General features: G+C 45.1%; 1 long non-coding RNA gene across 1 annotated transcript; it reads right to left on the bottom strand.

The window, feature by feature from the left end:
* Positions 1-279: 279 nt before the first annotated feature.
* On the bottom strand, positions 280-12,552 carry LOC107986829 (uncharacterized). The gene is made up of 4 exons (XR_001745301.2): positions 12,515-12,552; positions 11,180-11,334; positions 5,560-5,723; positions 280-2,432 (listed from the first exon to the last, which is right to left on the bottom strand). It is a non-coding gene; the product is annotated as an uncharacterized LOC107986829 (long non-coding RNA).
* Between the last annotated feature and the right edge of the window lie 1,170 nt (positions 12,553-13,722).

Below are 13,722 nucleotides of genomic sequence, written 5' to 3'. Positions count from 1 at the left end.
ATCTGCTGACCTTCCCTCCACTATTGTCCTATGACCCTGCCAAATCCCCCTCTGCGAGAAACACCCAAGAATGATCAATAAAAATAAATAAATAAATAAATAAAAGAAGAGATGATGAAGAAGGCACCAGGGGCATGTGCCAGCTATTTCTTCAGAAAGTTCTTCCAAAGAACTTTCACTTCTCCTTGCATCCCATTGGTCAGAATTTGGTCACATGGCCACACCAAGCTACAAGGTAGGGTGGAAAATGCAGAAATATAGACTTTATTTTGAATTATCTTTTTTTTTTTTCTTTTTTGAGACAGCGTCTCACTCTGTTGCTCAGGCTGGAGTGCAGTGGCACAATCATGGTTCACTACAGCCTGGACCTCCTGGGCTCAAGTGATCCTCCCAGCTCAGCTGCTGGAGTAGCTGAGACTATAGGCGCATGCCACCATGCCCAGCTAATTTTCTCATTTTTTGTAGAGACAGAGTCTCCCTATGTTACCCAGGCTAGTCTTGAACTCCTGGGCTCCAGTGATCCTACTGCCTTGGCCTCCCAAAGTGCTGGGATTACAGGTGTAAGCCATAGTGCCTGGCCTTTGGATGGTTTTATGCCTAGATAAAAACTCTATTACTATGGAAGAATGGAAGGATACTGGTGGAATTAGTCACATTCTCTGCTACACAGTCTTGAACATTTCCTGAACATTCTCAGGAAGCTATCAGTAGAGTACACCACCTACGTAAAGCGATAAAGCAAGAAAGAAGACTTGGGATCCATGAGTGAGGGTATCCAATTCAACAAAGACGAAGGGAGTCCCTAGGGTAATAGTGAGAGGAGACCCCAAAATGACAGCTGAGTTGCTGCCCTAGAAAGCAGCTAGTCCAAAGTAGAGAAGATCAGAAGGTAGGTTTCACAGAGAGCAGGCAATAAGATTTTTAAAAAGGTAAAAAAAAAAGAAACAAATCAGAAGGTTCTTGGAGGGATTCCTTCAAGAAGATGAAACTGACTGAAGACCTAATAATTTACCTTCACCTAGCAGGTGCAGCAATATGCCTTCACTGCCCTGTGACAATCTACTCTGTATGTTTGAACATAATGAGAAGACTTATTTTACAGCAGGGATTCAATTAGGATTAATACCTAGAAACATCGGCAAACCAAAAGATAAGGCAATTATTAACTCCAAGGGAAACAAATGGCTCAATTATGAATAGCATATATACACTTATAAAAATATAACCCTAGGACAGGCGCGGTGGGTCACACCTGTAATCCCAGCACTTTGGGGGGCCGAGGCAGGTGGCTCGCCTGAGGCCAGGAGTTTGAGACCAGGCTGACCAACATAGCGAAACCCCGTCTCTACTAAAAATACCAAAAAAAAAAAAAATTAGCTGGGCGTGGCAGTGGGCGCCTGTAATCCCAGCTACTTGGGAGGCTGAGGCAGGAGAATCGCTTGAAACCAGGAGGCGGAGGTTGCAGTGAGCCGAGATCGTACCATTGTACTCCAGCCTGGGTGACAAGAGTGAAACTCCGTCTCTCTCTCTCTCTCTCTCTCTCTCTCTCTCTCTCTATATATATATATATATATACACACACACACACATACTTACACACATATACGTATATATATGTGTATACATATACACACATATACATATATACTTATATATATATGTATACATATATGTGTGTGTATATATATACACACACATACATAAAATCCTAAATCTCTTTCTAACTAAAATGACAAATACAGAGCCTCCCTGACTTATGATGGAACTGTGTCCTGATTAATTCATTATAAAATCAAGAAAATCCTTAAGTCAAACCATCCTAGCTCCCTGACTTATGATGGGACTGAGTCCTGATTAACTCATTGTAAAGTTAAGAAAATCATTAAGTCAAACCATCCTAAATTGGGGGACTGTCTGTGTTCAGAGGATGGTGGGATGGGAAGTGTGTGTGTGTGTGTGTGTGTGTGTGTGACTGGTGTGTGTGTGTGTGACTGGTGTGTGTGTGTGTGACTGGTGTGTGTGACTGGGAAGTGAAAGAGAGCTAACCCTCACTGTCCACACGGTAAGTCAATAGATAATAGGTAATACTGAAAAAAAAAACCAAGAGCTAAAGACATAACTGTATTATTTAGACATATAAATATAAACCAAATAACAAAAGATCAGCTATAAGAACTGAAAAAATGCTTACTTCTGAGGAGCTGAAAATGGAGGAGAGTTGAAAAGGATCTTCTCTTTTTTCTAACATGTCTTTGGAAGTATTTAACTCTTTAAATTACGACCACGTCCAAATTTATTAAAAATAAGACACAAATTTGGCTGGGCGTGGTGACTCATGCCTATACTTCCAGCACTTTGGGGGGCCAAGGCAGGAAGATCGCTTGAGGCCAGGGGTTAGACGCCAGGCTGGGCAACACAACAAGACTCCATCACTACAAAAAATAAAAAGTAAAATAATTAGCCAGTGTGGTAGCCAGCTACTAGGGAGGCTGAGGTGGGAGGATTGTTTGAGCCCAGGAGTTTAAGGCTGCAGTGAGCCATGATCATGCCACTGCACTACTGCAGCCTGGGCAACAGAGTGAGACCCTGTTTCCAAACAAAACAAAACAAAACAAAACAAAACCCAACCTAAAACATAAGTTTTAAAAAATGAAAAGATAGGCTGGCCGCGGTGGCTCATGCCTGTATTCCCAGCACTTTGAGAGGCCGAGGCGGGCAGATCACCTGAGGTTGGGAGTTCAAGACCAGCCTGACCAACATGGAGAAACCCCATCTCTACTAAAAATACAAAATTACCCGGGCGGTGGTGGTGCATGCCTGTAATCTCAGCTACTCAGGAGGATGAGGCAGGAGAATTGCTTGAACCCAGGAGGCAGAGGTTGCAGTGAGCTGAGATCGCGCCATTGCACTCTAGCCTGGGCAACAAGAGCGAAACTCCATCTTAAAAAATAAATAAATATGAAAAGATAAATTAATCAGATTTTCTTTCTTGGGCCTTTTAGGTGAGAAATGTGGAACCGGGTAGAAGGAGACAAACACTAACAAGTGGTAGGTGGTGGCTAAATCACATTGACACTTGGAGGGAGAGGGAACATTCACCAATTCCTTTTTTTTTTTTTTTGAGATGGAGTCTCGCTCTGTCGCCCAGGCTGGAGAGCAGTGGCACAATCTCGTCTCACTGCAACCTCTGCCTCCCAGGTTCAAGCGATTCTCCTGCCTTAGCCTCCCTAGTAGTTGGGACTATAGGCGTGTGCCACCACACCCAGCTAATTTTTTTGTATTTTTAGTAGAGACGGGGTTTCACCGTGTTAGCCAGGATGGTATCCATCTCCTGACCTTGTGATCTGCCCGCCTCAGCCTCCCAAAGTGTTGGGATTACAGGTGTGAGCCACCGTGTCTGGCCCATTCGCCAATTCCTATTGTGAAGCACCTAGAGTTTTTCCTGGACTCAGAACTTCCTTGGGTTTCAACCTACATGAATTCTGATTCCACTATGGCTTAGTTCTAAGAGATCAGGTCTCCCTTATCTATCTCTTTCTCTTACTTGAGCTTTGTTGAGTGAACTTTTTTGTTTCTTGCAGTGAAAAAAGCCCTGCTAAAATAGAGGTAGATGCTGCTTCCAGAATTCCTTATTAGTTGAAAGTATAAAATGTAGCAAGTTGGCCTGATGCAGTGGCTCATTCCTGTAATTCCAGCCCTTTGGTAGGCCAAGACAGGATCACTTGAGCTCCGGTGTCCAAGACCAGCATGGGCAACATAGGGAGACCCACATCTCTACAAATAATTTAAAAATAATATGACTGTGACAAATGATTGGAAAGAAAAAAAATTTAAAAATTAATAAATAATTTTTAAGGCCAGGCGTGGTGGCTCACACCTGTAATCCCAGCACTTTGGGAGGCTGAGGCAGGTGGATCATGAGGTCAGGAGATCGAGACCATCCTGACTAACACGGTGAAACCCTGTCTCTACTAAAAATACAAAAAAATTAGCTGGGTGTGGTGGCGGGTGCCTATAGTCCCAGCAACTCGGGAGGCTGAGGCAGGAGAATGGCGTGAACCCAGGAAGTGGAGCTTGCAGTGAGCCGAGATCGCGCCACTGCACTCCAGCCGGGATGACAGAGCGAGACTTTGTCTCAAACAAACAAACAAAAATAATAATAATTTTTAAAAAGAAATAAAAATTAGCTGGGTGTGGTGGTGTGTACCTGTGGTCCCAGGTACTCCACAGGCTGAGGTGGGAGGCTGAGGTGGGAGGATCACTTGAGCCCTGGAGGTTGAGGCAGCAGTGGGCCATGATCATGCCACTGCACTCCAGCTTGGGTGACAGAGCAAGACCCTGTCTCAAAAAATAAAATAAATAAAATGCAGCAATTTGTCCTTCATTCTCTGCCCTCCCATCCCCCACATTTTGAAGGAGATCTTATATTACTAAGGAATATTCATTGCTAATTATTATTCATTACTAATGAATATTCATTACAACTTACTATTCATTACTAATGATTTTCTAAGCTCTACTGATGTGACAGGTCCTTGCATTTCTGCCAGTTATATCTCACAACCCCATTACATCCACGTCTCAGCAAGACCTGGGGGATCTTTGATACTTCAAGTCCAAGGCAAATCAGCATGATATTGTCAATGACGATCAGGATGACATCCTACAGAGGAGTCAGTTAGTGTGATCAACCATCCCAGTTTGCCAGGGACCTGGGGGCTTCCTAGGATGCAGAACTTTCAGTGCCCGAATAACAGTTTCAGGTAAACCTAGATGGCTGGTCCCTAGGTAAAGTGGACTAGGTCCCTGTGAAAGGATACTGCTACCCCTTCCAGGTAAAGATAAATAGCTGGGATGGGTAAAGAGAAACAGAGGCCAGGTGCAATGGTTCATGCCTATAATCCCAGCACTTTGGGAGGCTAAGGAGGGAGAATTGCTTGGTGCTAGGAGTTGGGAGACCAGTCTGGGCCACATAGTGAAATGCCATCTCTTTAAAAAAAAAAATTAAAAAAATTAAAAAAAAATTTAGCCAGGTGCAGTGGCATGTGCCTGCAGTTTTTTATTTGTTTGTTTGGGTTTTTTTGTTTGTTTTGATTTGTTTTGAGACGGAGTCTCTCTGTTACCTAGGCTGGAGTGCAATGGCGTGATCTCGGCTCACTGCAACCTCTGCCTCCTGGGTTCAAGCAATTCTCCCGCCTCAGCCTCCCGAGTAGCTGGGAATACAGGTGCCCGCCACCACGCCCTAATTTTTGTATTTTTTTTTTTTTAGTAGAGACGGGGTTTAACCATGTTGGTCAGGCTGGTCTCAAACTGTTGACCTCAGGTGGTCCACCCACTTTGGCCTCCCAAAGTGCTGGGATTACAGGCATGAGCCACTGTGTCCATCCGTGCCTGTGGGTTTGAGGCTGTGATGAGCTGTGGTTGTGCCTCTGTACTCCACTGTGGGCAACAGAGTGAGACCCTTTCTCTAAATTGAAGACAGCATATCAAGTACCCACGTAATTAAGCCCAAGGTAATCCTCCATTATTTTTCAAGTCCTGTCCATCTTTGGTACTAACCAGCCTGGAGAAACAGCCTCCAAGGTTCCCATCCTCCTCTTCAGGAACTCTGGGTCAAGAAACTTATTCAGGGCCAGGCACAGTGGCTCACACTTGTAATTCCAACACTTTGGGAGGCCAAGGCAGGAGGAGACCAGCCTGGGCAGCAGAGTGAGATCCCATCTCTACGAAAAAAAAAAAAAGAGAGAAGGGATGGTTAAGGCTAGAAGGACTGTGACTATGTAGTGTGTTGACTTGACTTAGATCTTTGTTCATTAAGCTAAGGAATTATCTTGTTTTACAAACCAAGCTGAACCCAGGCCCGCCCATCTGCTCTGTTCCTGCCACTACTTCAAACAGAAGCCAAAACCTCAACTCAGTATGTTAGGCCATTTCTTGCAGCAAATTTACCACACCTACTTGGCTTTTGCCTTTTTGTGGCCACAGCCAGGGGTGATATTCAAAATATTTCACAGCTGGTTACCACATGGCCGGCAGCCATTTAGAACAGACACTGATTTTAGCACTAAGTCCTGTTCCTGGAGATCAACAGCTATGCTGGGGATTAACTCTTTAGTTGCTGAAAGAGAGGGAGGTCTGGCCAGCACGGTGGCTCATGCTTGTAATCACAGCACTTTGGGAGGCTGAGGTGGGCTGATCACTTGAGGTCAGGAGTTCAAGACCAGCCTGGCCAACATGGTGAAACTCCATCTCTACTAAAAAAGCTAGCCAGGCGTGGTGGTGTGCACCTGTAATCCCAGCAACTCAGAAGGCTGAGGCAGGAGAATTGCTTGTACCCAGGAAGCAGAGGTTGCAGTGAGCCAAGATCGTGCCACTGCACTCCAGCTTGGATGACAGAGCAAAACTCCGTCTCAAAAAATAAAAAATAAAAATAAGAAGAGGGAGGTCTGGGGGCCTGGAGGCAGGTGGATGGGGTGGGGAACTCAGGAGGCTGTTGGCAGTAATTTACCAACTGCTAGGAAAGCTTTTCAGTATTTCAACAACCAGTATCGGCAGGACATGGTGGCTTATGTCTATAATTGCAGCACTTTGGGAGGCCAAGGCGGGCAGATCACTTGAGGTCAGGAGTTCGAGACCAGCCTGGTCAACATGGCAAAACCCTGTCTCTACTAAAAATATAAAAATTAGCCGGGCGTGGTGGCACGCGTCGGTAATCTCAGCTACTTGGTAGGCTGAGGCAGGAGAATCGCTTGAATCCAGGAGGTAGAGGTTGCAATGAGCTGAGATTATTCCACTGCATTCTAGGCAGGGTGACAGGGTGAGATTCTGTCTCAAAAAAAAAAAAAAAAAAGTATGATCAACCAGGCCACGTGCAGGAGAAGGGAAATGAGGGGATGGGGTGGAGAGAGGGAGAGAGACAAAGAGAAATGAAGGGAGGGAAGAGGCAGGAAGGAAATGAATGTTCTATCCTTGATTTGGTCTGTCTTCCTTGATTACAACCCCACAGGATTCGAGTCCACATAGTTGCTGCTGTAACAACTCCCTAGAAAATTAGCCTCTAATTCCTTTTTTCCCTGCTTGGATTTTGCACACCATCCATGGTTGCATGATATTTCCAAATTCCTGTGATCAGATGTTCCTCATTAGGAAGTGACTCATCACATTTGCTTGGCAATCATGAATACAGGAGAAATTACTTGGAGGGGCCCAGGGGACTGGGAAGCCCCATGCCCTCAAGATATTGCTCTTCCAACCTCCAGGATTTCAGTCTTTGATAATCAAAATCTTAATGTTAACTACAGAAAGCCAGCACAGTTGTGAACTTAGCAAATACTGTGATTTGTCAATTTACAGTATCTTTTTGTATTATAAAATATTTGGCAGGTAAATTTTATAATGTATTTTAAAATATACAAATAACTCTGTATTATACCTGTTGATTATGATGCGTAAAAATAAATGAACACTGGGCTGGATGCAGTGTCTCACGCCAGTAATCCCAGCACTTTGGGAGGCTGAGGTGGGTAGATCACTTGAGGTCAGGAGTTCGAGACCAGCCTGGCCAACATGGTGAAACCATGTCTCTACTGAAAATACAAAAATTAGCCGGGTGTGGTGGCACGAGTCTGTAATCCCAGCTACTCAGGAGTCTGAGGCAGGAGAATCGCTTGAACCTGGGAAGCGGAGGTTGCAGTAGCTGAGATCGCGCCACTGCACTCCAGCCTGGGTGACAAGGTAAGACTCTGTCTCAATAAATAAATAAATAAATAAATAAATAAATAAATAAATAAACAAACAAAAAAACACTGGTAAACCCACCACTCAACATAAGTAGAATGTAGTCAATATTCACTTTAGAGATCTAATTTTTAGTCTTTTCCAATCACTGGCTGATAGTAGTAAATGTGTTTTTTGGTAAGGTACAGTGGCTCATGTCCCAAAGTACCCAGCACTTTTAGATGCCAAGGTGGGAGGATCGCCAGAGGCCAGCAGTTCAAGACCAGCCTAGGCAACATAACAAGATCTCGACTCTACAAAGAAATAAAAAATTAGCCAGGCATGGTGACGTGTGCCTGTAGTCCCTCCTACTTTGGGGGCTGAGGTGGAGGGATCCCTTGAGCCCAGGAGGTAGAGGCTGCAGTGAGCTGTGATGGTGCCACTGAGCTCCAGCCTGGGTGAACGAGTTAGACTCTGTCAAAAAAAAAAAAAAAAAAAAGTCAAAACAACAACAAAGATGTGTTTTTTTTGCTGGTATACAGAATGGCCTTGAATGTTGTTTTCTTTCTCTCTTTTTTTTTTTTTTTAGATGGAGTCTTGCTCTGTTGCCCAGGCTGGAGTGCAGTGGTGCCATCTTGGCTCACTGCAACCTCCGCCTCCCAGGTTCAAGCAATTCTCCTGCCTCAGCCTCCCAAGTAGCTGGGATTACAGGCACATGCCACCATGCCCAGCTAATTTTTGTATTTTTAGTAGAGACGGGGTTTCACCATGTTGGCCATTCTGGTCTCAAACCCCTGACCTCAGGTGATATGCCTGCCTAGGCCTCCCAAAGTGTTGGGAATTACAGGTGTGAGCCACTGTGCCCGGCTGAATGTTGTTTTCTGATTCTACCCAGTCATCCTAATTCCTCCTTTTTTTTTTCATTTCCTTCCTTCTACTTATCTCTCTTTCTCCGTTTTTTTTTTTTTTTTGACAAGGTCTCACTCTGTCACCAAGGCTGGAGTGCAGTGGCATGATCACGGCTCACGGCAGCCTTGATCTCCCAGGCTCAAGTGACCCTCCCACCTCAGCCTCTTGAGTAGCTGGGACCACAGAGTGCCACTACGCCCAGCTAATTGAAAAAAAAAAAACTGTAGTTATAGAGTCTCACTATGTTGTCCAGCCTGATCTCAAGCTCCTGGCCTCAAGCAATCCTCACCACTCAGCCTCCCTAAGTGCTGGGATTACAGGCCTGAGCCATCACGCCTGTCCTTATTTCCCAAAGTGCTGGGATTACAGGCGTGAGCCACTGCGCCCAGCCCAAAACTTTACTTTCAAAGGACATAGTATCTGAATACTAAGACTTTACGAACTGTTTTATCAATCCATGGACTTCTAACCTCCCATTCAGGGACATGGAAATCATCTCTGACTCTCTCTCCTGTGTTACTATGAAGATTCCATGCCTCTTTGGAGATTCTGTTGCTTGCAACCCCGCTCCTGGAATAGAATTCTGTGCTTGTTAGAGTAGTTTGGTATTTCATTTGCAAGAAACAAGAACTAACTGCAAATTTTAGGGGGAAAAAAGGGCTTGGACATACCATAAGGACATAGGTGGGCTGGAACTGAAAATCTAAGAATTTGAGGTTGGCTGGGAACTGGCCACTGTCTCTTTCATCTTTCATGGCCCGCATAGCCTCCTGCATGGCATCCTTTTCTCTCTCACTGTTACCCTCCTAAGCAGTGGGGATTTCATTAGGCTGGCTAATCATTTTTAGACTCTGAATGTCAGAGCCCAAGTCAGTAATAATAATAGGAGACTTCCATACCCCATTTAAATAATGGAGAAGTCATTAGGCAGAAGATCAACAAGGAAATAGAAGACTTGAACAACAGTATAAACTGATCAGACCTAACAGGTATCTATAAAATATTCAACCCGCCAACTGCATAATCTATATTCTTCTCAAGTCCACAAGGACACTCTCCAGAATGAACTATATGTTAGGCCATAAAATAAGTCTCAATATATTTAAAAAGATTGAAATCATACACAGTACATTCTCTAACCATAATAAAACAAAATTAGAAATCAATAATAGAGCCCAGGCACAGTGGCTCACACCTGTAATCACAAAATTTTGGGAGACCGAGGCAGGAGGATCACTTGAGGCCAGGAGTTCAAGGCTAGCCTGGCCAAAGTGATGAAACCTTGTCTCTACTAAAAATACAAAAAATTAGCCAGGTAAGGTGGCATACGCCTGTAATCCCAACTACTTGGGAGGCTGAGGCACAAGAATCGCTTGAACCTGGGAGGCAGAGGTTGCAGTGAACCTCAGTGAACTGAGATTGTGCCACAGCACTCCAGCCTGGGTGACAGAGCGAGACTCTGTCTCAGAATAAAATAAAATGAAATATAAAATAAATCAATAATAGAAATTTGAGAAATTTAAAACTATGTGGAAATTAAACGCAGTCCTAAATAACTCATAGGTCAAAGAAGAAATCACGGCTGGACATGGTGGCTCACGTTTGTAATCCCAGCACTTTGGGAGACCAAGGTGGGTGGATCACCTGAGGTCAGGAGTTCAAAATCAGCCTGGCTAACATGGTGAAACCCCGTCTCTACTGAATATACAAAATTAGCTGGGCGTGGTGGTGCATGCCTGTAACCCCAGCTACTTGGGAGGGTGAGACAGGAGAATCGCTCTAACCCAGGAGGCAGACGTTGCAGCGAGCAGGGATCGTGCCACTGCACTCCAGCCTGGGTGGGTGACAGAGTGAGACTCCATCTCCAAAAAAAAAAAAAGAAAGAAAAAGAAATCACAAGAGAAATTAGAAACTACTTGGAGATAAATGAAACTGAATGATATACCAAAAACTTAAAGGATTTAGCTAAAGCAATATTTTGAAGGATATTTATAGTTGTAAATGCCTACAGTGAAAAAGAAGAAAGATCTCAAATTCAACAACCCATTTATTTATTTATTTATTTACTTATTTATTTATCTATTTACTTATTTTTTGAGACAAAGTCTCGCTCTATCTGAGGCTGGAGTGCAGTGGCGCAATCTCAGCTCAATGCAACCTGCGACTCCCCTGTTCAAGGGATTCTCCTGCCTCAGCCTCCTTAGTAGCTGGGATTACAGGCGCCTGCCACTGCACCCAGCTAATTTTTGTATTTTTAGTAGAGACGGGGTTTCACCATTTTGGCCAGGAGGGTCTCGATCTCCTGACCTTGTGATCCACACGCCTCAGCCTCCCAAAGTGCTGGGACTACAGGTGTGAGCCACCACACCCGGCTAATTTTTGTATTTTTAGTAGAGACAGGGTTTCTCCATGTTGCCCAGGCTGGTCTCAAACTGCTAACCTCAAGTGATCCGCCCGCCTGCCTTGGCCTCCCAAAGTGCTGGGATTACAGACAGGAGCCACTGCGCCTGGCCTGCATGTCTTCTTTGATCTGGCCCCACCCTCCTTTACTTACTCTGTTCCTTCAAATTGGAATGTCCTTCAGCCTCCACATCTACAACAATGGCTGGAATTGTCTCCGTTCTTCAAGGCCTGATTATAATTCCATCATCTTCATGTAACCTTTTTTTTTTTTCTTCATCCTACTCTTCAACTGATGGAGCACAAAGTCTGGTAGAGGAGATAAAGGAGACAATTGGGTTCTGTCTTGCAATGTGATAACACTCTGGTGGGTGTGTGCACAGAGTCCTAGGAAGGCAGGAGGGTGAGGTAGAAACTGTTGGGTTAGTTGAAAGATAGAAAATTGCACACTCCAGTTGACTTCCACTTCTGAGGGCTTAGAACTCCATGAGGAGGCATCGATTTCATCTTAAAGGATCCCTTTCTACACTCATTTCTTTTCTTTCTTCTCTTTCTTTTTTTTTTTTTTTTGTTTTGTTTTGTTTTTAGAGACTGGGTCTTATTCTGTCACCCAGCCTGGAGTGCAGTGGTGTGATCGTAGTTCACTGCAGCCTCCAACTCCTGGGTTCAAGTGATCCTCCCATCTCAGCCTCCCAAATAGCTGAGACTACAAGTTTGCATCACCATGCCTGGCTAATTTTTTTTACTTTTGGTAGACACAAAGTCTCACTCTGTTACCCAGGCTGATCTCGAACTCCTTGCCTCAAGCAATCTTCCCACCTCGGCCTCCGAAAGCACTAGAATTTCAGGCATGAGCCACCACACGTGGCCTAACCTGCTGTTTTCTCAAGAGCAGGACAGTTTTTAATTTCTGGACCTATCGCATCTAGCAAGGTTCCTGGCCAGAAAAAGTGAAAATAATTTTTTTTTTTTTTTGGAGACAGAGTCTCGCTCTGTTGCCCAGGCTGGAGTGCAGTGGCGTGATCTTGGCTCACTGCAACCTCCACCTCCTGGGTTCAAGTGATTCTCCTGCCTTAGCCTCTAGAGTAGCTGGGATTACAGGCATGCGCCACTACGCCTGGCTAATTTTTTTTTTTGAGATGGAGTCTCACTCTGTTGCCCAGGCCAGAGGGCAGTAGAGTGATCTCGGCTCACTGCAACCTCTGCCTCCCGGGTTCTAGCGATTCTCCTGCCTCAGCCTCCAGAGTAGCTGGGATTACAGGCACCCACCACCATACCCGGCTAATTTTTGTATTTTTAATACAGACAGGTTTTCACCATCTTGGCCAGGCTGGTCTTGAACTCCTGACCTTGTGATCCACCTGCCTTGGCCTCCCAAAGTGTTGGGATTACAGGTGTGAGCCACCACACCCTGTTGCCTGGCTAATTTTGTATTTTTAGTAGAGATGGGGTTTTTCTATGTTGGTCAGGCTGGTCTCAAACTGCTAACCTCAAGTGATCCGCCTGCCTCGGCCTCCCAAAGTGCTGGGATTACAGGCATGAGCCACCACACCTGGCTGGGACTTGCTTTTAATAAACTAAATGTGATGGAAATGACAGTGTGTGATTTCTGGGGCTAGGTCATAAAAGACATTGTGCTTCTGCCTTGCTCTCTCTCTCTCAGAGCCCCCACTCCGGGGGCAAGCCAGCTGCCGCATCACGAGGACATCCACGCAACCTATAGAGCTGCTCAGGAGGAACTGAGGCCGGCTGCCAATAACCAGCACCAACTTGCCTGCCGTGTGAGTGAGCCATCTGGGAAACCAAGCCTCCAGCCTCCATGAAGCCTGCAGGTAACGTCAGCCCTCCAGTCTTCCGGTCTTCCAGCTGAGGCCCCACACGTCGTGGAGCAGAGCCAAGCCAATCCCGTCATGCCCTGAATTCCTGATCCACAGAACTGCGAGAGAATACATGAAAATTGTTTTAAGCCACTACGCTCTGAGATAGTTTGTTATGCAGCAGACAACAACTGATGTAACAGTGGCAGGTGTACACGGAGTGCCAAGGGAATGCAAAGAACGGACACTTAGGGGCTTGGAGTGGTGGCTCATGCCTGTAATCCCAGCACTTTAGGAGGCTGAGGCATGAGAATCACTTGAAACCAGGAGTTCAAGACCAGTTTGGGCAACATACGAGACCCCTGTCTCTACAAAAAAATTTTAAAAATTAGCTGCCCACACTGGCACATGCCTCTAGTCCCAGCTACTCTGGAGGCCGAGGCAGGAGGATGGCTTGAGTCCAGGAATTGGAGGCTGAAGTGAGCTATGACTGCACCACTGCACTCCAGCCTGGGAGACAGAGTGAGACTGAGACCCTGTCTCAAAAAATATATATATTATAAATACTTAATTCTAAATTTTATGATATAATTGTATTGAGAGGATAGGGGAAGGGAAAGAGTTTTGTGTGGGGGTGTAAAAGTTAAATCCTCATTTCCTGTTTTAAGAAATCATAGATCGTATCTAAAATAGAAAAATCAAGGAATAGCTATACAAGCAAGTTATTTAGAAACTGGAGCTGGGCTCATGCCTGTAATCTCAGCACTTTGGGAGGCCGAGGCAGGAGGATCACCTGCGGTCAGGAGTTCAAGGGTAGCCTGGCCAACATGGTGAAACCCCATCTCTACAGAAAATACAAAAATTAGCCGTGTGTGGTGGC

The sequence above is a fragment of the Homo sapiens genome, chromosome 7 (genome assembly GCF_000001405.40).
Source record: "Homo sapiens chromosome 7, GRCh38.p14 Primary Assembly".
NCBI classification, from domain to species: domain Eukaryota; kingdom Metazoa; phylum Chordata; class Mammalia; order Primates; family Hominidae; genus Homo; species Homo sapiens.
This window is presented reverse-complemented; position numbering and strand designations above follow the sequence as displayed.